This window comes from Homo sapiens, chromosome 3 (assembly GCF_000001405.40).
Source record: "Homo sapiens chromosome 3, GRCh38.p14 Primary Assembly".
NCBI lineage: Eukaryota > Metazoa > Chordata > Mammalia > Primates > Hominidae > Homo > Homo sapiens.
The window spans coordinates 197605784-197629311 of record NC_000003.12 but is presented as its reverse complement, the minus strand read 5'-3'; the positions used below and the strand labels follow the sequence as shown (position 1 = coordinate 197629311).

At 43.9% G+C, this 23528-nt stretch overlaps 1 pseudogene across 1 annotated transcript, besides 1 other annotated feature; it reads left to right on the top strand.

Moving 5' to 3' along the window:
• Nucleotides 1246-1585: a silencer, noted in NCBI's record as "silent region_15088". NCBI's record gives its function as "represses an Ori minimal core promoter by ATAC-STARR-seq in GM12878 lymphoblastoid cells {active_cell/tissue: GM12878}" and the evidence as "EXISTENCE:reporter gene assay evidence [ECO:0000049][PMID:35858748]".
• On the top strand, nucleotides 1431-15285 carry SDHAP4 (SDHA pseudogene 4; annotated as a pseudogene). Its single transcript, NR_003266.2, has 8 exons — nucleotides 1431-1532; nucleotides 5115-5200; nucleotides 5930-6092; nucleotides 6982-7125; nucleotides 7444-7608; nucleotides 9424-9572; nucleotides 13627-13748; nucleotides 14690-15285. The product of NR_003266.2 is annotated as an SDHA pseudogene 4 (transcript).
• Nucleotides 15286-23528: the final 8243 nt, after the last annotated feature.

The following is a 23528-nucleotide window of genomic DNA, read 5'->3' as shown; positions in this document are numbered from 1 at the left end:
TAATCTACCTGGGAGCATGGAACTGAAACCACAGGCTTGGCAATCCCGGAGGGAGAGGGTGGAGGGTTTAGACCTCAATTGAAGGGCTCAGTACCTGGCTATAGGAAATAACATTTAAAAAGCAGCAAGTGGAAATAATTTCTGCTGATGAGGTTGCATCTCTCCAGATAGCCGGCAGAGTAAATTAAAGCAATATAGTCTTGCTCTGTTGCCCAGGCTGGAGTGAAGTGGTGCCCTCTCTGCTCACTGTAAGCTCGGCGGGAGAATGTCTTGATCCCTGGAGGCAGAGGTTGCGGTGAGCCGAGATCCCGCCATTCCACTCCAGCCTGGGCAACAAGAGCGAAACTCCGTCTCAAACCAAACAAAATTAGGTAACTAACCCAGGACTAAAACAGCGTAACTTTAAAAAAATAAGTCTAGGAGGTATGATGTTCATTCCCTGCAAGCCAATAAAGGCCACGTCTGGGGCATACATCTAAAAAAATAATCCTAAAGAGAAAGTTATGGTCACAAATATGTTCTGTACGGTGTTATTAAGAGCAAAAATGGGAAACAACCCAAATATCAATAAAATGGGACTGAACCCTTGCAAATTTATTAAAATAAAATTGTTAAACATGATGCACAAGACGAAGATTTTAATAAAGTGAAAAGACAGGAAACATACTTACTAATGATTATTGGTTTATTTTTCATGCCACTTCATTCCACAAAAAGATTTCAGGTATCTTACAAAAAGACACACTAGAAATATTAAAATACTATCTGAACCAGAAGCAGAATCAGGGTAAGCTAGCAGAAAGGCGTATAAGCCAAAGGGATCTACCCAGCTTTCAAAGCTGACCACGGCCGTGCGCAGTGGCTCTGTCTGTAATCCCCGCACTTCGGGAGACCCAGGAGGGAGGATCGCTTGAGGCCACAAGTTCGAGACCAGCCTGGGCAACAGAGCAAGATCCGGCCTCTACAAAAAATTTAAAAATCAGCCGCAAGCCAGAGACTAGGGACATGGCTGAGGATCGCTCCCGCCCCTCGGAGGCCAGAAACCGAGGGTCACTCCCGCTCTCTAGAGGCCCGAGGCCCCGGGCCGCTCCCGCCCACCTCCGCGGACGAGCGCCGCCCCTTCGACCCCATTCCCTGAGGTCTGGACGTTCAGGCCCTCTCGGTCTGGGAGATCCCGGAGAACCACCCACGGGGCTTTAAAAAATGTTGGTGCCAAACACCTCTCCGAAATAGGGCCCGCCCTATCTCGGTCGGGGAGCGCGGGACCTCCGTGGCCACCCAGCGCCACCGTCCGCGGGTCCGCTTTGCGCAGGCGCGGCGTCCCCGCCCCTTAGACCCCGGCCCGGGCGTGGCGTGGTGCGCAGGCGCAATGTCCCCCACTAGCGCCCCGCCTTGACCCGGCCGTGGTGCGCAGGCGCAGTCTGCGCAGGGACTGGCGGGACTGCGCGGAGGCGACTGCAGACGTATCGGGGGTCCGGAGCCTGTCGCGGCTGCTAAGCGCTCGGCGCCTGGCGCTGGCGCTGGCCAAGGCTGTGAGTCCCTGCCGCGGACCGGGGCAGGGCAGGCGGGGGACGAGGCGGCGGTAGGAGCGGGACGGTCCCCAGCGGGTCCGAGCGGAGCGGGCGCCGGGTCCCCGCGCCCCCTGCCCGGGGATCGGGAAGGGGCTGGGAGAGCCCTGGGCCGGTGCGAGGGGGAGCCGCGGAGTGTACTCGGGGGCCTGGGGAGCTCGGTCCTTAGCAGGTAGGCCGCGTCCCGGTGAAGGTCGCGACCCCGCGGGCTTGCTGGGCGTCCCCTCCGCCGCTTTGGTCCGGGCCTGGGGTCCGGCGACCTCGCGGGCTGAGGTAGCCCCTCGCCTCTGCCTGGCGGGTGGACTCGGGGAGGAGTCGTGTCTGCCCAAGGTCACCGGGGTGGAGTCCTGGCTGGGCCGGGCCTCTGCCGCCCTCTGTGAGGGTTGTCCTGCGGGGCCGCCCGCAGCCCGTGGGTGGGGCTGGCGGGGCGGGTGAAACCGCCCGGGTGGGTGCGAGGAGTGGCCGGGCTCGGCCGGGTGGGTGTCCGGTGGGAAGCGCGGCGCGCCCGAGCTTGGGCTTGCAGTTCCCCTTTCCAGAGAGCGCAAATCTGTGCATGTCCACTTCGGGATCTTGGAAGTTAAGGACCTGTACTTTGGGTCCTGTTTGGTGGCCCTTGTGCCACCAAAAATGTGCCGGTGTTTAAAAGCAGCTGTGCCAGTTTTTAAAAATCAGACGGAGAGCTCAGGGCACTGACCGAGCGAGGACTCCAGGACCTGTGCTTGCCTGTGCGCTGAGTACCTCGAGGGCCGGGCTCGGCTTAGTCCAGGATGATGGTCAGGGTTATACTTCCCTGAGCCCTTGCTCTCTGAGTGTCTGAGTGTGCCCTCTACGATTGCATCTTCAGAATCGGCCTTCTAGGATTTTATTTAATCAAGCGAAATTGGATAGGTTTAGTTGTTTGGTTCTTTTAAATGAACTTAGCCACCCACCTCTTAATTACAAAGTAATTTTAAATTGCAGAGTAAAAATCTCAATAGGAACCAAGGCATTCAGCAATATTGATTTGAATTATGCCTGTGATTGTGCAATTCTCTCCTTTTTGAAATAGTTATTGAAAATCTCTTTGAATTAAATGTGAGGATTAGTCATACAGCCATCCTGTCAACATCGGAAAGCGTGTAAACCGTTCTAGCGTGTTGCTGTGGTTGGTGCTGACTGAGCAGAGACCCCCGCCGCATCTTGGGCTCTTAGGAGCTGCTGGGAGGGCGTCCACAAGCAGGAGGTGAAGCCCATGGTCAGTGGGACTTTTTAGGGGCAGTGGTAGCTTGTGGTTGGAGAGAAGCTAGATAGAGCCAGTGCCTTTGTCCCCAACCCAGATGGTGCCCAGTGTTCCTTCTGCAGACTAAGGCCCCAGGCACCTCAGACCAGATGGCAAGATAGCAAAATGGAACCAAAATTTAGTCTTGGGTTTTGTAAAAGTCTTTTTATCTTGATGAAGGTAGCTTTTCCTACAGAAAGTCGTGCGTTTTTGGGTTCTTCGTTGGCTGCTTTTGTGATTGTGTAGGTTGTACATGCAGATTCGTTCTTGCTCATGATTTATAGGTGCATTTTATTCGATGAGGGACCCTTACTTTGCTAGATTTCGGATATGAATGTCTCTGCACTTGTTACTTTTCCCCCTCCACCTCCTGATTCAGTCATCTGAAATTCTGTATTGTTAAGCAAGGTCTAAGTATTCCTTTTAGTTATATGTTCCCCATTTTTTTTCTTAGAGGAAATGTTTGATAGTTTCTCCTAAAAAATTAATAATTGGCACAAAAGACTAGTTTTGTGTCAAAAGTAGTTTTGAGTTTTATCTAAAGACTGACATTGGCTTGAAGTTGGGCTTTCCAGATTCAAAAATCTGCCCCAGATGAGATTTAGATGCAGAGGGTTAGTGTCCTTTTCCCCAGGGGGATGGCGTGATGATTTGTTCAAGATTGTGTTATAGTAGCTGCCCCTTTTAAGCCAGCTGTGTGTGTGTGGTGGGGGGTGGGCAGTGTGTATTCCACATCAACATCCTAGAAAGAACGAATAAACATTTAGTGATCTCACTGTTTCTACTTACATTTGGTATAATGTACTGTTTTTATTGGTGCTATTACCTATGTTAATAGGGCACTTTACAAAATTTTCAAGAACGTTTTTATTAAAATTATTTCAAAGACTTCTTTCTTAAAATATGATTTTACCATGTAAAAAATTATACTAAGGTAGAAGAATATTCGTTTTCTCATTTTCTGAAAAAAGAAAAAACTAAATTAGCTTATGTCAATAAAAACAGACTAGAAATTGGAGAAATGAAGAATAATTTTTTATCCCACATAATAAGTAATTTGTGAATTGCCAGTATTTCTAAATACTTGAAGACATCCCTCACATCCCCTCTTCTGATTGCTGAGTGCATAATTTCCTAAAGCTTTTTTTTTCTTTTGTTTTTTGGAGACATTGTCTCGCTCTGTCACCCAGGCCGGAGTACAGTGGCACAGTCTCGGCTCACTGCAACCTCTGCCTCCTGGGTTCAAGCGATTCTCCTGCCTCAGCTTCCCAAGTAGCTGGGATTACAGGTGCCCGCCACCACGACCAGCTAATTTTTAGTAGAGAGGGGGTTTTGCCATGTTGGCCAGACTGGTCTCGAACTCCTGACTTCAGGTGATCTGCCCACCTTGGCCTCCCAAAATGCTGGGATTACAGGCATGAGCCACCGCGCCCAGCCCCTAAAACTATTCTTGATGATATTTCTGAGACTATTCAGTGGTCTTCTAAAATGCCGCCAGCAGAATGGAAAACGTATCCCCTAAATGGCTGGCCAACCTTAGCATATGGGACAGTGTGACCTCTCTCACACAGAGCCACTAAAAACTAAACACTAAAACCAGTTTTCTTGAGTAAAGGTTTCTAAGATGGAAAATTTAAGCAGCGAGATATGTCAAGTTGTAGACGTTGGCCGGGAAAAAGCCAGCAGCAACCAGGCAGGGGAGAGTGTGCATCCGACATCCTCCTGTGTGATGAAGGGATGACACCTCTTCCCTCTGGGCTGTCAGCCTTTACTGTTCCAGGATACAGATCTCCTGATTCAGGTGTCCAGTGCCTTTTGAACTGAACGCAAGCCCTCCTGGACGATTGGAACTGTAATGTGGAAAGGGCTCTGATGGAGCCAGTTAAAATGCTTCATTATTTGCAAAATACCACATACAGTAATACGATCTGGATGTCTTTCCCCTCCTCCACTAAGTAGCATAAGTGAAGACTTCCCAGAGGAAGTGCGCCTTTTTCATCTCGTATCTGAGTCAGTGAGTATCCTTTTTGGAAACAAGCTTCATCCTGGTTTTCTAGAGTGCCAAGTCAGGGTGGAAAGGAGGACCTGGGGGCTCAGTCCTTCCTTGCCCCTTGGGCTGCCCTTCAGGGTTAAGTAGAGGGTCCCAGCTGAGCTCTCTGGATGCACAGGAGCACCTGGGTACATAAGAAGGTGAACAGTTTGCAAGGGGAAGTTTGAATTACTATCCCCCGCAGCATTTGTTCCTTCAGGACACTAACCCTCTGGATCTGTGTCTTCTGTGTCTCCAGTGGCCAACAGTGTTGCAAACAGGAACCCGAGGTGTTCACTTCACTGTTGAAGGAACGAGAGGGCATCTGCTAAAGTTTCAGATTCCGTAAGTTCATGCTTTTTGTTCCATTATAAATGAATTTTTTGCCTTGGGGGTAAGGATCTATACCAGTTTGTTTTCATATGAGTCATAGACATAAGGGAAAAATTTCTCATAGGTATCCAATGCATGCTGAAATTATTTTCAGTGTAATAATACTTAATTGCAAGTACCAATATAAACATAGATGTTAACATTTTTACTTGTATCTGTTATGTATCTATAAATTAGATTTAAATTTAGGTCAAGTAAAGCAATAAATTAAAATGAACAGTATCTGCTGTGATAGATGATAAAATCCTACTGAAAAGAGGACCGTGGGGCCCTTCCGGTGTGGGTTCCTTGGTATTGAGTGTGCCTGTTCTCTCTCTGTTGGAAAACTGAAACGTGCTGAGAAGTTCTTTTCTCATAAGCTCACAATAGCGACTGAATGCTCCTTGGCACCTTCTCAGGCATAAGCATAGGCACGGCCCTGAAGTAGAGTTGTGGTCCTCAGTCTGATCCCATGGAATAGACCCTCTACCATTCATAGAATCTGATTATCAGTCCCTTCTCCAGGTGCGAATGTGCCTACTTCTCCCCGCACTGTTCAGGGCTCAGCCCCAGGACAGGATGGAGGCCCTGTGTGCCCAGCAGTTGCTCCTTTTATCTTTGTCAAGCTCTTTCACTGGCACAAGAGTCTTCATGTTTGGCATAGTGGAACCTGTGATTGACAGGTGAATTTTTCTTTTCCAGATTTCTGCTCAGTATCCAGTAGTGGATCATGAATTTGATGCAGTGGTGGTAGGCGCTGGAGGGGCAGGCTTTGCGAGCTGCATTTGGCCTTTCCGAGGCAGAGTTTGATACAGCATGTGTTACCAAGCTGTTTCCTACCAGGTCACACACTGTTGCAGCGCAGGTAAGAGAAAGGTGCCCCACTGTGCTCCCACTCCGTGCAGGTCCCGCGCAGCCTCGCACTTTCTACCTGGGCAGCCTCCTGCCTCCTCCCCGTGCTCCAGCCACTCGGCCTCTTGCTGTGCCTTACTCAGCTCACCCATTCAGGGGTCTCTCCCTGGAGCCTCTTCCCTGGGGACTTTGAAGGGCGGGAGCCTTGTTGTCACTCTTAATTCAGACTCCAGTCACACTTGGGTTTTCTCTGACCATCTACCCTCCCCACCCACCCCTGCCACCCCAACACCTTAAGAAAAGGAGATCATCTAAAGAGGAGGATTCAGAATTTAGGTTGGGGAAGAAAAGGGCAAGGGTTTCATTTGTCCCTGTGCTGCTGTCTTCTGGGACTCTCTGAGGGGTAAGACGGTGGTGGGCACACACAGCCAAAGGAAGTAGGGGTACAGGGGAGTGCGACTCTGAGTATGGAGTCTATTACTTGGCAGGAAGCACTTCTGATCTTTAACACATGCCCGTAAATGCCGTTGGGAAGATTTGTTAATACAATTATGTGGAGAGATTCATGGAGTACCTTTTCTGTGCCAGATACGTTAGGTAATAAGCATATTACAGGTAGCCTTTCACTCACTGCTCCAGTCAGCCCTTCCTGGAGTTCCCTCTGTCTCCACCACACAGATGAGGAGACTGAGGCTAAGGGATGGAATCACTGGGTGAGTCTGGGAGGGGTTGTGATCTGGAATCTGTCAGGCCTGGCTGCTCCTCTGCTGAGGTCAGCCCTCACTGGGAGTCACCATGTGAGTAGTTGGCTTTCTCTGAATCCCCCAGCGGGTGGATTTGGGCCTGGAAGACAAAGCTGGGGCTCCTGTTTGTGGCTTGTAAGGAGTGGTTGGTGTTTCCAGGTTGGAATCAATGCTGCTCTGGGGAACATGGAGGAGGACAACTGGAGGTGGCATTTCTATGACACCGTGAAGGGCTCCGACTGGCTGGGGGACCAGGATGCCATCCACTACGTGACGGAGCAGGCCCCCACTGCCATGGTCGAGGTGATGGGCGGGAGGCTCTGGGTGCTCTCGTGGTCTGTTTCTAGTACAAGAGTCCTGGAAAAAATGTAAGCAGTTGAGGCAGATGTGGCAGCCGAAAGAATGGTGATTAGCAAAGCTCACAAGAGAAGTCTTTGTCCGTCATGAACTATGTATTACATGTAATAAGAAAAACTTCTCTTTGATGAAGTGTTGACATTTTCATAAAATAGGTTACTTTGGGTTTGCAGATTTTTACTAAGGTTGTTTAGTGTAGATTAGCTGTGAATATCTTGACTCCTTTAAGGTAATAAGGCTTTTGTTTGTTTTTATCTTTCACAGCTAGAAAATTATGGCATGCCGTTTAGCAGAACTGAAGATGGGAAGATTTATCAGCGTGCATTTGGTGGACAGAGCCTCAAGTTTGGAAAGGGCAGGCAGGCCCATCGGTGCTGCTGTGTGGCTGATCGGACCGGCCACTCAATATTGCACACCTCATATGGGAGGGTAAGGCCGCCCTCCGTCCACCTGAGACAGGACACGTAGTGCTGGGGCTTATGGTGACAGCGGGGAATGGGTTAGCGTGCCCAGTGAGTCAGCCAGAGATTACGTAAAAAGCAACAGAGAACAGCGGTGTGGGGCACATGCAGTGACTGTGGAGGTGACAGGAGCAGACGTGTGCCTTGAGAAGCTGCCCCTAAGGCAATGTGTGAGTTATTGCCTCTATGTTGGAAAGTTGAATTGATAATCTTATATACCAGGTTTTCACTTGGGATATGTGACACTCAGCATGTAAGAACAGAGCAAGCAGGCCAGGCACAGTGGCCCACGTCTGTAATCCCAGCACTTTAGGAGGCCAAGGCAGGAGGATCACTTGAGACCAGAAGTTTGAGACCAGTCTGGAGAACATAGCGAGACCCTGTCTCTACAGAAAGTTTAAAAAGTAGCTGAGCATGGTGGTACATGCTTGTAATCCCAGTTACTCAGGAGGCTGAGGCAGGAGGATCACTTGAGACAGTGAGCCATGTTCATACCACTGCACTCCAGCCTGAGCAACAGGAGACCTGTCTCAAAAAAAGACAAAGAACAAGTATTTTAAGGCTCTTTTACCACCTCTGAGTTCCTGAATGGATTGGTTTGGTTTGTTTGTTTTGTTTTGCTTTGTTTTTGAGACGGAGTCTCACTCTCACCCAGGCTGGAGTGCAGTGGCGCGATCTCTGCTCACTGCAACCTCTGCCTCCCGGGTTCAAGCGATTCTCCTGCCTCAGCCTCCAGAGTAGCTGGGACTACAGGTGCACGCCGCCACGCCTTGCTGATTTTTTGTATTTTAGTAGAGACAGGGTTTCCCATGTTGCCCAGGCTGCTCCCGAACTCCTGAGCTCAGGCAGTCCACCCGTCTCGGCCTCCCAAAGTGCTGGGATTACAGGCGTGAGCCACCACACCCGGCCATGGATTGTTTTAATATTAACTGTTACCATTGGACAAAGACTTGAGGTGACAATAGTTACTGGGTAATCAGGGTCAACTTTGGCATGACCAAATAATATTCTGAACAGTATTGATTCAGAGTAATCCATGTTCTGAGCTTTGTTGTTTTCTGATGCATGGGGACGGATCAGTAATGTGCAGGTTGTTAGAACACCAGTGACTTCTCTGTGGCTGAGTGCATCGACAAGTGTGTGGTGGGAGGAGATGGCGGCTCTGTCCGGAGCAGGAGCTGTCATGTGGGGAGCTGGCCCAGGCTCACGAGAGCGACTTGTGCTGGCTGAGGGAACGGCAGGTCCAGGCGGGCAGCGCTGTCCGGCGCCTACCTTTCTGCGGTGCCGGAATCTGCTCGTCTGCAACCGTCCACTTTGGTAGCTGCCAGCCACATGGGGCTGTTGCTAATGTGGCAGGTGTAGCTGAAGAGCTGAACGCTTTGATTTATTTTAATTAATTAAGTGGTTATGTGTTGCCAGTAGCTCCCATCTGGGCTGTGACCCCATGGTCTGCGGACCTCACTCTGGCACCAGACTCCGAGTGGAGCTGCATGCGGCCACCGGACAGTGTGGAGTGCCTCTTCGGGTTGTGTAGAAGTAGGAAGTATGTCACCAACATAGGAGCTGTTGCTGCTGCGTTCTCTAGCACACCTGCCTTGTTTGTACTGCTGGGCGTGGAATGCCTCTCGGGCTCTGACAGTGTCATTGACACTGTTGCTGATCTCCTTGGATTTACCTGGTCCATTTGGATCAAGTTCTTTCACCTATTCACATGAGCAGATATCACCTTAAAACCTTAAAGGTTGGCTTAACACTTCTTGCCCTTTTTTTTTCTTTCTTTTAGTCTCTGAGATATGATACCAGCTGTTTTGTGGAGTATTTTGCCTTGGATCTCCTGATAGAGAACAGGGAGTGCCGTGGTGTCATTGCACTGTGCATAGAGGACGGGTCCATCCATCACATAAGAGCAAAGAACACTGTTGTTGCCACAGGGTAGGAATCTAATTTCTACTTTATTTCCTTTGTAAAAATGAATAAATTTCTTTTAGAGTGTCTTTATTTTAAGGAAAATAGAGGCATTGTAGAATAGCAGTTCAGACACAGGCCTTGATATAACCATGTGAGGGTGATGGCCTTTCCCAGCCGTGGTTCCTCACCTGTAAAGAGTGAGGACAGCAGCACCTGCCTCGGGGTGAGAAAGCATGGCCCTCAGTAGTCGGTAGTGGCTGCCGTCAGCTTCACAGCTTACCTCTCCCGATTTTAGATGAGGCACCTGCGGCCCAAAGAGTCACATGGGGTTTTCTGGCAAAATCTCTCTTGTTTTAGTGGGTTCTGTGTTTATACTGATTCCTGGGATAGATAAGTCTGTCTTCTCCGCATAATGAAAATGAAAAACTTTAATTTTATACAGTGGCAGTTACTTTAGTCACTTTAAAAGTTAAGAAGTGTCAGTACAGCCAAGAAAAAAAATCAGCAAAACTACAGGTTGGGAAAAAATATTTTCCAAACCATATATCTAATGATATCTTAGTATCTAAAATAGAAAAAAAAAAAAAAAAAAGCCCTACTAAAACCAACCTACTAAACCCTACTAAAAAACAACCCTGCTAAAAATGGGCAAAGGACTTGAATAGATATTTTTCCAGAGAAGACATACAAATGGCCAGTTGATGTATGAAAAAATGCTCAACATCACTAAGCACCAGAGAAATGCAAATTAAAACCCCAATGAGTATCATCTCATCTCGCTCCAGTTAGAATGGCTGTTACCAAGAGGACAAAAGATAGTGAGTGTTGGTGAGGATGTGGAGAAAAGGGAACCCTGTGTGCTGTTGGTGGGAATGTAAATTAGTACAACTATTGTGGAAAACTCTGGAGGTTCCTCAAAAGTCACAGGACTACCATGTGCTCCAGCAACCTCATTTCTGGGTGTATATCCAAAGGGCATGAAATCAGAAGCTCAAAGAGACACCTGGACCCCCATGTTCATTGCAGCGTTATTCACAATACCCGAGATATGGAAACAACCTAAAAATTTTTGGTGTTTAATGACAATGTGGTGTGTATACACAACTGAATATTATTCAGCTATGAAAACAAAGGAAATCCTGTCATGTGTGACAATGTGGATGAACCCAAAGTCATTATGTTAAGTGAAACGTCCCAGGCACAGAAAGACAGATACTGCATGTCACTCATATGTGGATCTAAAACTGTCACAACTCACAGAAACAGAATAGGACAGTGGTTGCCAGGGGCTGGGGGAATGCAGACTGTGGCGATGCTGATTAAAGGTGTAACTTCCCGTCACAAGGTGAAGTTCTGAAGGTCTGATAAACAGCATGGTGGCTAGAGTTAATGTTATACAGCATGGTGGCCAGAGTTAACATTATACAGCATGGTGGCTACAGTTAAAATCATACAGTACGGTGGCTCTCATTAATATAACTTGAAATTTGCGAAGAGAGTAGACCTTAGGTGTCTGTATCTCCAAAAAAAAAGGATAATTGTATGAGGTGATAGATGTGTATTAAGTTGATTGTGTCATCAGTTCACAAAATAAATCATCACGCTGTACACCTTAAATATATACAGTATTGTTTTTTGTTTAATTCATCAATCATACCTCAGTAAATCTGGGGGAAAAAAACAAAATCCATAAAAATTTTAAAATTTTCATTATAAAAGTAGTATATGCTTACTGGGGAAACCTTTTGAACAGCACAAATCTAAAATACAAATAGGGCCAGACGCATAGTGGCTCATGCCTGTAATCCCAGCACTTTGGGAGGCCGAAGTGGGTGGATCACCTGAGGTCAGGAGTTCAAGAGCAGCGTGGCCAACATGGCGAAACCCAGTCTCTACTAAAAATACAAAAATCAATTGGATGTGGTGGTGCACACCTGTAATCCCAGGTACTTGGGAGGCTGAGGCGGAAGATCTTTCTAGAGATTGGGCTTTGATGTAAAAAAAACTTACACACTAAATAATTGGTTAAAACAATGAATTTTCTTGAGGGACTTATTTACTCTTAATAAATTATAAGAGACTCTGATTTTTTTAATCCAAAGTTCAACTTTTATTGCATCTCACCATTTTTTATTTTCTCTCCTCTTTGAAAGGGTGCACAATAGTAATGCTCTCCCTCAACTCATTGTCAGCTCCTAAAAGTCTTTTTCCTCCAGTTCTGTTTCTTGTGACCTGATGCTAACAATATTCTCTTAAAGGCCTAAAGGAAATGTCGTCTTTCATCATCATATTCTGTGCAGTGCAGAAGGTCTTTTCTTTTGCCTTTTGGTAACTGGCCTAACAGATTTTATGGTTTACTGAAATAATTGCCATTATTATTAAATTTTGATTTACTTAAGAAAAAAACTGAGATTGAAAAAATTTTCTTAAATTAGGGTTAGTACATCCATGTATCTTTTTGTATGCGCTTTTCAAGTCCTTCCGACATAGAGTTACAGGGCTTTGACTCCTGGGTCTAAAAAGGGCACCAAGTCCTGCTAAATATTAAACACTGACAGTAATTAAAGCCTCATCTTCAGGCCCAGTAGAAAATCTTAAACACTGACAGCGATTCAAGCCTCATCCTCAGGCCCAGTAGAAGATGCCAATCAAAATGAACTGCATCCTGACACACAGAATTAAAGCTGTTCAACTCCTCAAGGCCCGGGGACTAGCATGGGCATGTGAGATTCTAAGGGCCAATTTTGAGAGAGAAAATAAGTTGAGTTTCTCTGTAAATTAATCACTAATGTCAAAGGCACACTGACACAAGACCAGCACATGGGCCCCTGTGTCAGATTAACAACATTTTCTTGAAGCATTAACTGACTCCTTAATAAAGGTTATAAAAGGCTTATGGAAGTTATACGTTATGGTTAAGATTAAAATTTTATAGCTTGTTTATAAAATTTTGAAAAACAAATTTAATTAGCTTCCTGCTGTTTTTTTAAATGAGGGTTTATTGTTTGAAAAATTAAGTCTCCTCTCCAAAACAATGAAAGCTTTTGCCTGTTTTTTGAAATCCTTCAGCTATCACTTTGGTCAAATGAGTGACTTATTTTACAATGACCTGTGATATCAAGTGTTTTAAACCTTTGATATCTGACAAACTTTCCAAAATCAAATTATAAATTATGTATTTTTCTGTCCTAATCATTTAAGATACTAGGTTCCCTAAAGTCCAAAAATGACATAATTTGGCTTATTTGGTATAAAAATTATACAGAAAGCATTGTCAAGTATGAAATTGTGTTTGGTTTTCTTTGGACTGTATTTGTATAAATATGTTATTGGTATGTGTTCTAAAATTATGGGAAACTCCTATAATTCTGATATGACTTACTGTACATTATCAGTAATAATGTTATGTTACATTATTTTGTGCCACAGAGGTAACAAATTTCCTTGTCAATTGTATCTTTGACTATGGCTGCCCTAAACTTTTTGTTATCCACAGACAATTGTCTTGTTTTGGTCCTCTTTAGAAGGTGGTTTTATAGCTGGGTGCGGTGGCTCATGCCTGTAATTTCAGCACTTTGGGAGGCTGAGGTGGGTGGATCATGAGGTCAAGAGTTCAAGACCAGCCTGGCCAAAATGGTGAAACCCTGTCTCTACTAAAACTACAAAAATTAGCAAGGCATGGTGGCAGGTGCCTGTAATCCCAGGTACTCAGGAGGCTGAGGCAGGAGAATCACTTGAACCAGGGTGGCAGAGGTGGCAGTGCACTGAGATCATACCACTGCACTCCAGCCTGTGTGACAGAGTGAGACTCCATCTCAAAAAAATAAAAAGAAAGAAAGTGGTTTTATAATCAGCTATAAAACTTTAAAAGGTGCTCTTGAATGCAGGTTTCTGGTAACTTTGGAGATTGTGACATCAGAATAGAGGAAAAACTTTCGGGACTCATGGAGAGCTGAAATGTTCATGAATATCAAGCAGAACAGGAATGAACTACATGGACTGAACTTATAGAAGACTAAAGTAATCTTTTTGACTTTTTGCTTAAAACGTTGTTGATCCTTTGTTTTGTTTTTTTCAGAGTCAAGAAACTTTTCTTTTGAGCTATTGACAGCTTTTAACAAGTTATTATACTCCTATGAACAAAATTTGGAGCATATTTGTTTCTCTCTGCCTGATTTCTCCTGAATTTGGAAACTATTTGTGAGTATTCTTAACTTATCGTAATATAGTTATTTGCATAAGTGCAATAATAATCTGTTTTTATTTGTAACAGGACACAATTGAAGAAACTGGTTATTCTACCATGGCTTTGACTGGAATGGTGTGCTTTCCTTTAAGGAATTAAACTTGTTTTATGAAGCCAGTAAAAGCCCCTTGGGAAAGCTGGCCAAATACCCTGTCTACACAGTCCCTGAACAGGGTTCCTGATCTGTGGTAAATAAAGAATGTCACTTTCTGACAGGCCCAGGAGCCCCAAGTTTTACCTCGGGACCTCAAAAGGAGAGGAATTCATGCAACTCATAGGTATTTGATGGTACAAATCCATGGCAGGGCTCAGCTTTAAACAAGTCTTTTCTGAGATTCCTTCTATGGAATAAAGTTCCATCAAAGTCAATTTAAAAGCCTGTGTAAAAAAATAATTATTCTTGCTGCACTGTATACAAATAATCAGGCCAAGTATAATAAAGGAAATCAGTCGTACCATGATTTGTCTTTAGTAAAAATGAGAAACTGGAGAGAGAAAAACTATGTTTTAAAAACTATAGTACACCTGTTGTTAGATTCTAGTCTTGCCCAATGTTTTTCAATTTTTATTATTTTCTACAGTTTGGACCAAATTCTAGTTTTTCTTGGCTACAAGTCTTCAATATAACGTTTTCAATTTTTTCCCTTTCTTTTTTCTATTTTTCCTAATTTGGAGTCACTGAAAGCTAAGCTGTGCTTTGTGAAGCCCTGTGAACTGAAGCTAGACAACTTAAACTTCAGAAGAAAATAACAGCAACCTGTTTACATATATAAGCTACTTTCATACCTGCCTACTGATGTATGGACTTCAGAGTAGTGTGGCCTATATCGATTTTCTAGGATCATTATTTTGTTTGTTGTTTTTCTCCCTTCCTCCACCTATTTTCTCTTCATAGGACATGAGGATTCTCAACCTGATAAAAATGAGCTTTCCTAATAACTCAAGACCCATCTGCCTAGGAATAAACCATCCCAGCTGTGAGAGACCAGACGAAACCTGAGACCAGAGACTCGTTTTCTTCTAAAATGCTTTCTCCAAAAGATTTTTAAACAGAAAAAGGGGGAAATGTGAAAGGAAAAGAAAACTTGAGGCCCCCAAAATCACTAAGCTAAAAGGAAAAGTCAAGCTGGGAATGGCTTAGGGCAAACCTGCCTCCCATTCTATGCAAAGTCATCCCTCCGTGCACTGAGATAAATGCTTATCTAATTGCCTCCTTTGGAGAGGCTCATCAGAAACTCAAAATAATGCAACCATTTGACTCTCACCTACCTGTGACCTGGAAGATCCCTCTCTGCTTGAGTTGTCCTGCTTTTCTGGATGGAACCAATGTTCATCTTACATATATTGATTGATGTCTCATGTCTCCCTAAAATGTATAAAACCAAGCTGTGCCCTGACCACCTTGGGCACATGTCGTCAGGACCTCCTGAGGCTGTGCCACAGGCATGCAGCCTCAACCTTGGCAAAATAAACTTTCTAAATTGACTGAGACCAGTCTCAGATATTCAGGGTTCACAGTATCCAAAAATCCAATCACATCTGAAACCGCCTTTGCAAAAATTATCACAGTGAGAAAATAATGGCAGTGAAAGAAAGCTGATCTAGCCAACCTCCCTCTTGCCTTTAGCTTTCAAGCTGCTTTTACTTATTCCTGGGTTTAAGCCAAGCTACATGTGGGAGTCATTTAGTTGATAGTTTAAATTATAATAACCCTTCCCCGAAACTCAACCACCCTTGTAATACTGAGAGACCACCAGGCTAGGAGGAGGAGAGGAGCCTAAATTCTGCTAAGGTGTAGACAAAAACAATTGTGAGGCGTTATTCCAGAAGCCACAAGATATGCAACTTCCTCAGTTACCCCTGCAGATAATGTTACTTTTGTAGAACCTAGGATTGGCCTTCTGAGATATCTTCTCAGGATTTTGCATGTCTGATGACCGATGGCTCCACCGGGACCAGCCAACGGCTTCTGTGTCCCCACCCAGAAGCGACTCAGAGAAAGAGGACAGCTTCGACACCCTATGATTTCATCTCTGACCCAACCAATCAGCACTCCCCATACCCTAGCCTGCTACCTACCAAATTACCTTTGAAAAATCCCTAACCTCCAAGCCTTAGATGAGTTTGATTTGAGTAATAACTCTGCCTCCCACATGGTGTGGCTGGCATCATGTCAATTAACCTCTTTCTTTACTGCAGTGCCATGGTCTCCATGAACTGATTTTTTTGTGCAGTGGGCAGGAAGAACCCATCGGGCAGCTACACATCTTGAAAGAGAAGCTCTTCCTGTGAGGTACATCAACTGTGGTTAAGAATCTTACATACTTATCATTTTTTGTTGTTGTGAGAACATTTAAAATCTACCCTTTTCTTTCTTTTTTTTTTTTTTTTTTTTGAAATGGCGTCTCACTCTGTTGCCCAGGCTGGAGTGCAATGGCATGATCTTGGCTCACCACAACCTGCTGGGTTCAAGTGATTCTGTTGCCTCAGCCTCCTGAGTAGCTGGGATTACAGGCATGCACCACTCTTTTAGCAATTTTATTTATTTATTTTGTTATTTTGAAAAAGTATTTTTAACTTTTACTTTAGATTAATGGGGTATATGTGCAGGCTTGCTATATGGGTATATTGTGTGATGCTGAGGTTTGGGGTATGAATGATCCTGTCAGCCAGATCGTGAGCATCGTACACAAGCAATTTTAAAATATACAAATGGTGTGGTATGGTGGTACATGCCTGTAGTCCCAGCTACTCAAGAGGATGGGGCCAGAGGATCGCTTGAGCCTAGGTGTTTGACACCAGCCTAGACAACATTGTGAGACTCTGTCTCAAAAATAATAAATAACAAAACAAAATAAAATATACAATGCATTATTATTTAATACAGTCATTATTCTATGCAATAAATCACTAAAGCTTATTTTTCCTGTCTAACTGAAACTTTGTACTCTTTGATGAACTTCTCCGCTTTCCCCATCCACCCCACTTCCCTGGATTTTATTAAATTAAATTGTATTATATTGAATTTACCAGAATTAATCACTACATTAGAAGAAACTCCAGTGGGTATTCCTAAAATCATGGAGAAGTAGATAGATTTAAAAGCAAAAGAAATGCTGCAATTTCTTCAGAGTTCATAAGAGAACTTCTATTGGAGAAATGGAAAATTTGAGCTGGCTAAGCCTTGAGACCTCCCAAGACTAAGTTATAGGAGTTTAGCCTTCTAAACTACCTCAGGGTACAGCCTGGTCTTAATTTTTAATTTTAAATTTATTTTTATTTTTAATTTATTTTTATTTTTATTTTTGAGACAGAGTCTCATTCTGTCGCCTAGGCCAGAGTTTAGTGGTGCACAATCTCGGCTCACTGCAACCTCCGCCTCCCAGGTTCAAGCATTTCTCTTGCCTCAGCTTCCCGAGTAGCTGGGATTACAGGCATGTGCCACTATGCCCGGCTAACTTGTATTTTTAGTGGAGATGGCGTTTCACCATGTTGGCCAGGCTGGTCTTGAAGTCCTGACCTCAGGTCATCTGCCCACCTTGGCCTCCCAAAGTGCTAGGATTACAGGCGCGAGCCACTGTGCCCAGCCTATTTTTTATTTTTATGGGTACCTATTAGATGTATATATTAATGGGGTACATAAGATATTTTGATAGAGACATACAATGTGTAACAATCATGTCAGGGTAAATGGAGTATCCGTCAGCTCAAGCACTGATGCTTTCTTCATGTTTCAAACAATCCAGTTATACTCTTTTAGTTATTTTTAAATGTATAATAAATTGTAGTCACTCCATTGTCCTATCAAATATTAGATTTTATTAATTCTATCTAACTATATTTTTGTACCCATTAACCATCGCTCATTTTCTCCACCCCCAACTACCCTTTCCAGACTCTGGTAGCCATCATTCTACTCTATCTCCACGGGCTCAATTGTTTTGAGTTTTAGATCCCACAAATAAACGAGAACATGTGAAGCTTGTCTTTCTGTGCCTGGCTTATTTCATGTAACATAATTTCCTCCAGTTCCATCCATGTTGTTGCAAATGATTCATTCTTTTTCATGGCTCAGTAGTACTTCATTGTGTATATGTACCATATTTTCTGTATCCATTCATCTGTTGATGGACACTTAGGTTGCTTCCAAATCCTGGCTATTGTGAACAGAGCTGCAACAAACATGGGAGTGCAAATATACCTTTGCCATACAATTTCCTTTCTTCTGGGCATATACCTAGCAGTGGGATTTCTGGATCATATGGTAGTTTAGCTTTTTTGAGGAAACTGTTATGCATAGTGGTTGTGCTAATTTATATTCCCACCAACAGTGTATGAGGATTTCCTTTTCTCCACATCCTCGCCGGTGTTTATTATTGCCTATCTTTTGGATATAAGCCATTTTAACCGGGGTGAGATGGTATCTTCTTGCAGTTTTGGTTTGCATTTCTCTGATGATCAATGATGTTGCGCACCTTTTCATATGTATGTTTGCCATTTTATATCTTCTTTTGAGAAATGTCTATTTGGATCTTTTGCCCATTTTTAAATTGGATTATTAGAATTTTTCTTGTCGAGTTGTTTGAGATCCTTATATATTCTGGTTATTTATACCTTGTCAGATGGGCAGTTTGCAAATATTTTCTCCCATTCTGTGGGCTGTCTCTTCACTTTGTTGAAGCTTTTTAAATTTGATGTGATTCCATTTGTCCATTTTTACTTTGGTTGCCTATGCTTATGGGGTATTACTCAAGAAATAACTGCCCAGTCCAATGTCCTGGAGAGTTCCTCCAATGTTTTCTTTTAGTGGTTTCATAGTTTGAGATCTTAGATTTAAGTCTTTTTTTTTTTTTTTTTTTTTTTGAGACGGAATCTCACTCTGTTGCCCAGGCTGGAGTGTGATGGTATGATCTCAGCTCACTGCAACTTCTGCCTCCCAGATTCAAGCAATTCTTCTGCCTTAGCTTCCCAAATAGCTGGGATTATGGGGTGCCCCACCATGCACAGCTAATTTTTGTATTTTTGGTAGAGACGGGTTTCACCATGTTGGCCAGGCTGGTCTCAAACTCTTGACCTCAGGTGATCCACCTGCCTCAGCCTCCCAAAGTGAGATCTAAGTCTTTAATCCATTTTTTTTATGGCAAGAGGTAGGGTTCTAGCTTTATTCTTCTGCATATGGATATCCAGTTGTCCCAGCTCCATTTATTAACGAGACTGTCCTTTCCCCGGTGTATGTGTTTGACACTTTTGTAGAAAATGAGTTCATTATAGATGTATGGATTTATTTCTATGTTCTCTATTCTGTTCCATTGGTCTATGTGTCTGTTTTTATGCCAATACCAAGCTGTTTTGATTACTATAGCTCTGTAGTATAGTTTGAGGTCAGCTAATGTGGTTCCTCCAGTTTCATTCTTTTTGCTTAGGATAGCTTTGGCTATTCTTGGTCTTTTGTGGTTCCACATAAATTTTAGTTGTTGTTTTTTTTTCTATTTCTGTGAAGAATGTCATTGGTGTTTGATAGGGATTGCATTGGATCATCAGATTTCTTTGGGTAGTATGGGCATTTTAACAATATTGATGCCTTCATGAACATGGAATATCTTGCCATTTGTGTGTGTGTGTGTGTGTGTGTGTGTGTGTGTGTGTGGTCTTCAAATTTTTTCATCAAAGTTTTATAGTTTTAATTATAGAGATCTTTCATTTCTTTGATAAAATGTATAATAAAGGTATACACATTTTGGTTAATAAACTTAACCAAAGAAATGCAAGATCTCTATAATTAGTTAACTAATAATTAATTAAATGGTTAATGAACTTAACCAAAGTAATAAAAGATTAAATAGAATCCTAAGTAGCTATTGTAAATGGGATGACTTTTTAAATTTCTTTTTCAGATTGTTTGCTGTTGGCATATACAAATGCTAGAGATTTTTGTATGTTGATTTTGTATCCTGCAACTTTGCTGAAATTTGTTTACCAGTTCTAATAGTTCTTTGGTGGAGTCTTCAGCTTTTTCCAAATATAAGATCATATCATCTGCAAACAAAGATAATTTGACTTCTTCCATTCTAACTTGGATTCCGTTTACTTCCTTCTCTTGTCTTGATTGCTCTGGGTAGGACTTCCAGTACTATGTTGAATAACAGTGATGAAAATGGGCATCCTTAGCTGGGCATGGTGCTCATGCCTGTAATCCCAGCACTTTGGGAGGCCGAGGCGGGTGGATCACCTGAGGTCAGAAGTTCAAGAACAGCCTGGCCAACATGGTGAAACCACTTCTCTACTAAAAATTAAAAAATTAGCCAGGTGTGGTGGTGGGCGCCTGCAATCTCAGCTACTCGGGAGTCTGAGGCAGGAGAATCACTTGAACTCGGGAGGCAGAAGTTGCAGTGAGCCGAGCTTGCGCCACTGCACTCCAGCCTGGGTGACAGGGCAACACTCCATCTTAAAAAAAAAAAAAAAAGATAGGAGTAGGGTAAAGGCATGGGATACAGGATGGACCCTGAGAGGATAATATGCTGGAGGTGCTCAGGGCAAACAACTCAGATGTGTGTGGGAGTGTGCATGCGAGGGTTTTTACGCATATGGTATAGTCTTTTTCCTGCCCAGAAGACCTACATACTAGTCTAGCCCATCCTGGGGGAAGTGAGAGATGTGATGGCTCTGCATTTTCTCTGGCTTTGCCCTGGAACCTGGGATGAATCCACTCCGACTGGATGTGAGTACCAGGTATTACCTGAGAACGTGATTTGAAACTGCTCCCTAGATAGGGCCCATTCCTTAGTCAGGGGTTCCTAGTGGCTGTGGAATAATTCACATTTGTCATTAGACTGTAAGGACCATCACTTTATTGCTTTTGTGTCCCTTCATTGTGCCGAGCCATGCACCATGCATCCAGCAGGGAATCCTGTGAGTGCCTTTTCACAAAAGCTTCCAGCTGCACGAGGTCGGCCCTTAGCGCTTTTAAAGGTAGGCAACTGACATGTCCACTCAGGACACAGACCCCAGCAAGGTGCTAGCAGGTCTTCTCAGGGCTCTCGTGATGGTTCCAGGCCCAGTCATTGGTCGGGGATCCAGAGGAGACACGCTCCTCACTTTTGGAATTCTACACTTTAGAGGAAGAACCCAAACGAAAAGCTAGGAGACAAGCCAGTGGGGTGAGGAACAGATTAAAGCCACTTGCTTCTCAAATGAGGACATTGTTTTCAAGACAGGGATGACCACTGTGTTTTGGAAATCCAAGTTCTCCTTTTACTGTTTTGCTCTCAGGGAAATTTCAGCAAATAAGATCCCAGTGTTGTTCATCAACTTCTCCAGGTTTGCTTTAAGCTCCTTTAGCTAGCTGCCCGCATGCTGATTGAAAGGTTACGAAGAAAACACAGGAAGAGAAATCCAGGCTACAATTGTTATTTGCAAGTTAGTGACTGGTCCTGGAACCTGACACTCCCTTCATGGGTCAGCATGCCCAGAGTTTTTGTGGTTCATTTACCCCAGAAGGACTTAGTACCAAACATTTCACAGATTTCCGTTATAAAGGTCTTTACAAACACAGACCCATGCAAAAGGCCCAACTATCACCTTCAACAACAATGCAATGGCCTTCCATGGCCTTACAGTAGGGCCAAGTCAGCAAGGACCTAAACAGCCTCCAGTGTGACTTTGTCACAGTTCGCGCACCTGGTTGTTAATGGCCTTCACCTGACATAAAGCAAATTGCCTGTCACGGATCATCTGAGCAAAAGAAGTCAAGGAAATTCAAGTAAAAGGAGGAAAAATGTATGCATATGTAAATGCTTACTCCAAAGTCACCTCATCTAAAGCTCTTGCTCAGAAAGCAAGTCAGAATCTTCACTCCTGTGTAGCATTACCGAATGGAAAACACGCTAAGAGTCATCAATAAAGTCAGCCCCGTGTAGCCTTCCCACTGGAGAAATGACAACCTGAGGTCCTGCCTCCAGCGCTAGGATGTACCTGTGATGTGGCTTCTACCTTGGACTCTGTCCACGGCCTGGAACAACCTGGACTCACCAGTGTGCACCATAGCAGGAGCCCAAGCAGGCTTAGCTCAAAGCTCCATGTTTATTGCATGAAGCCCTTAAAAAGTATTTGTTATCGGAAGGCTTTGCCCAGAGCTTTGGAGAAGATTACAAAGGAATGCTTTCTTCCTTCAGCTTATTTCTTAGGAAATTACCTCCAGATCTACCCAAGAAACAAAGGCTGCAGGATCTCCTTGGTGTCTTCATACATTGAACACTTATTTAGAAATCCCTCATGACTTTTTCCACTCCCATTTCTTGAGGAGAAAACAGAAGATCTGAGAAAGGGAGAATGGGAGATGGCCTGCCCTGGTCTCTTGGCTGCCCTAATGGAAAGGCTCCAAGTTGCAGCTTTAGAAACAAGGGCTGGCACTATGAGCAGGCTATAACTTCTTGCTTACACCTTCTCTCTTCACATCGGGTGCCGCCTGTCAGGTGAGGGCCACAGTCCTTCATTCCAGGTGTTTTTGCCTTCAGCCTTGCTTTACTACCATGTTTTTCTCCTTTTCTGTCTTCCATCTGTCCTTCCATAAATCCATTCATTATTCATCCATCCATCCGTCCTTTGAGACATCCATCCTTCAAGCCACCGTTTGACCCCTTCATCCCAAATTAATGACTTACTATATGCCAAACTGTGTGCTAGAAACTGACTCTACAGATGAGCTAGAACAGTTCTTGCCCTCAATCTTGGAAGAACAACTCATTGGTAGCAGCTCCACTGTTTATTGGCAGAAGGGAGGATTGTGTCCAGGGCCGCAGTATGCAGTGGGGCAGTTCAGGCACTGCACAAAAAGGCCCTGCAGAGCCAGCGAATGGGCCTGAAATGCAAGCTCTGTGTCCTGACCTGGAGATGGGTCTTTCCAGAAGAAGGGACAGCAGGAGGTGCCCTGTGAGTTACCAAACGTAGTTCATTTTGTAGCAAAACCTGGACACCTGTGCAAAGATCAAACTAGATCAGAAGGAAAGGAGACAATATTGCTGTGAAAATCTAGCTGGAACTCAGCAAACATTCAGGATGGAAATGCACACTTGCAAAGCAGTTTCTAGAACTTTGTGTGACAAGAACACTAGGAATTCTTCAAGGGATATCTAGCCATACATATGGCCTCCGAAGAATTCACCCCTAGAGGGTGTTCATAGTGATCACTTAACTTGTGCAGGTGGCCTGTAGTGGTGTAAGCATGGACATTTAAGCATGACACCTAAAGTATTTTATAGAAATGTTGAAGGAATTAGAGAAAGTTTATATCATTTTTTAATTGGTTTATTACTGACAGCATTTTGATAGGGTATTATTAGAACTCAGGTCTTGTGACTCAAAATCAATGCCTTCCCAGTATACCACTGACTCCCCATAGCTGGAAAACCCCATGGGGGCTCTCTGTTTGCCCTTATATCAGGCTGAAAGACATATTATCAACAAAAGTTTATGACATTAAAACCACGGACCCACTGATCATTCAGAAGCATTTTGTTTAATTTCCATGTGTTTTTATTTTTTGCAAAATTCCTCATTATTGATTTCTAGTTTTAAGACTTATTTTGTGACTTAACATATGGTCTATCCTTCAGAATGACTCGTGCTGAGGAAAGGAATGTGTATTGGAGTACACGGGATTTTTAGGGCAATGAAAATATTTGGTATGACACTGTATGGTGGATACATGGCATTACGCACTTGTGAGTATCCACAGA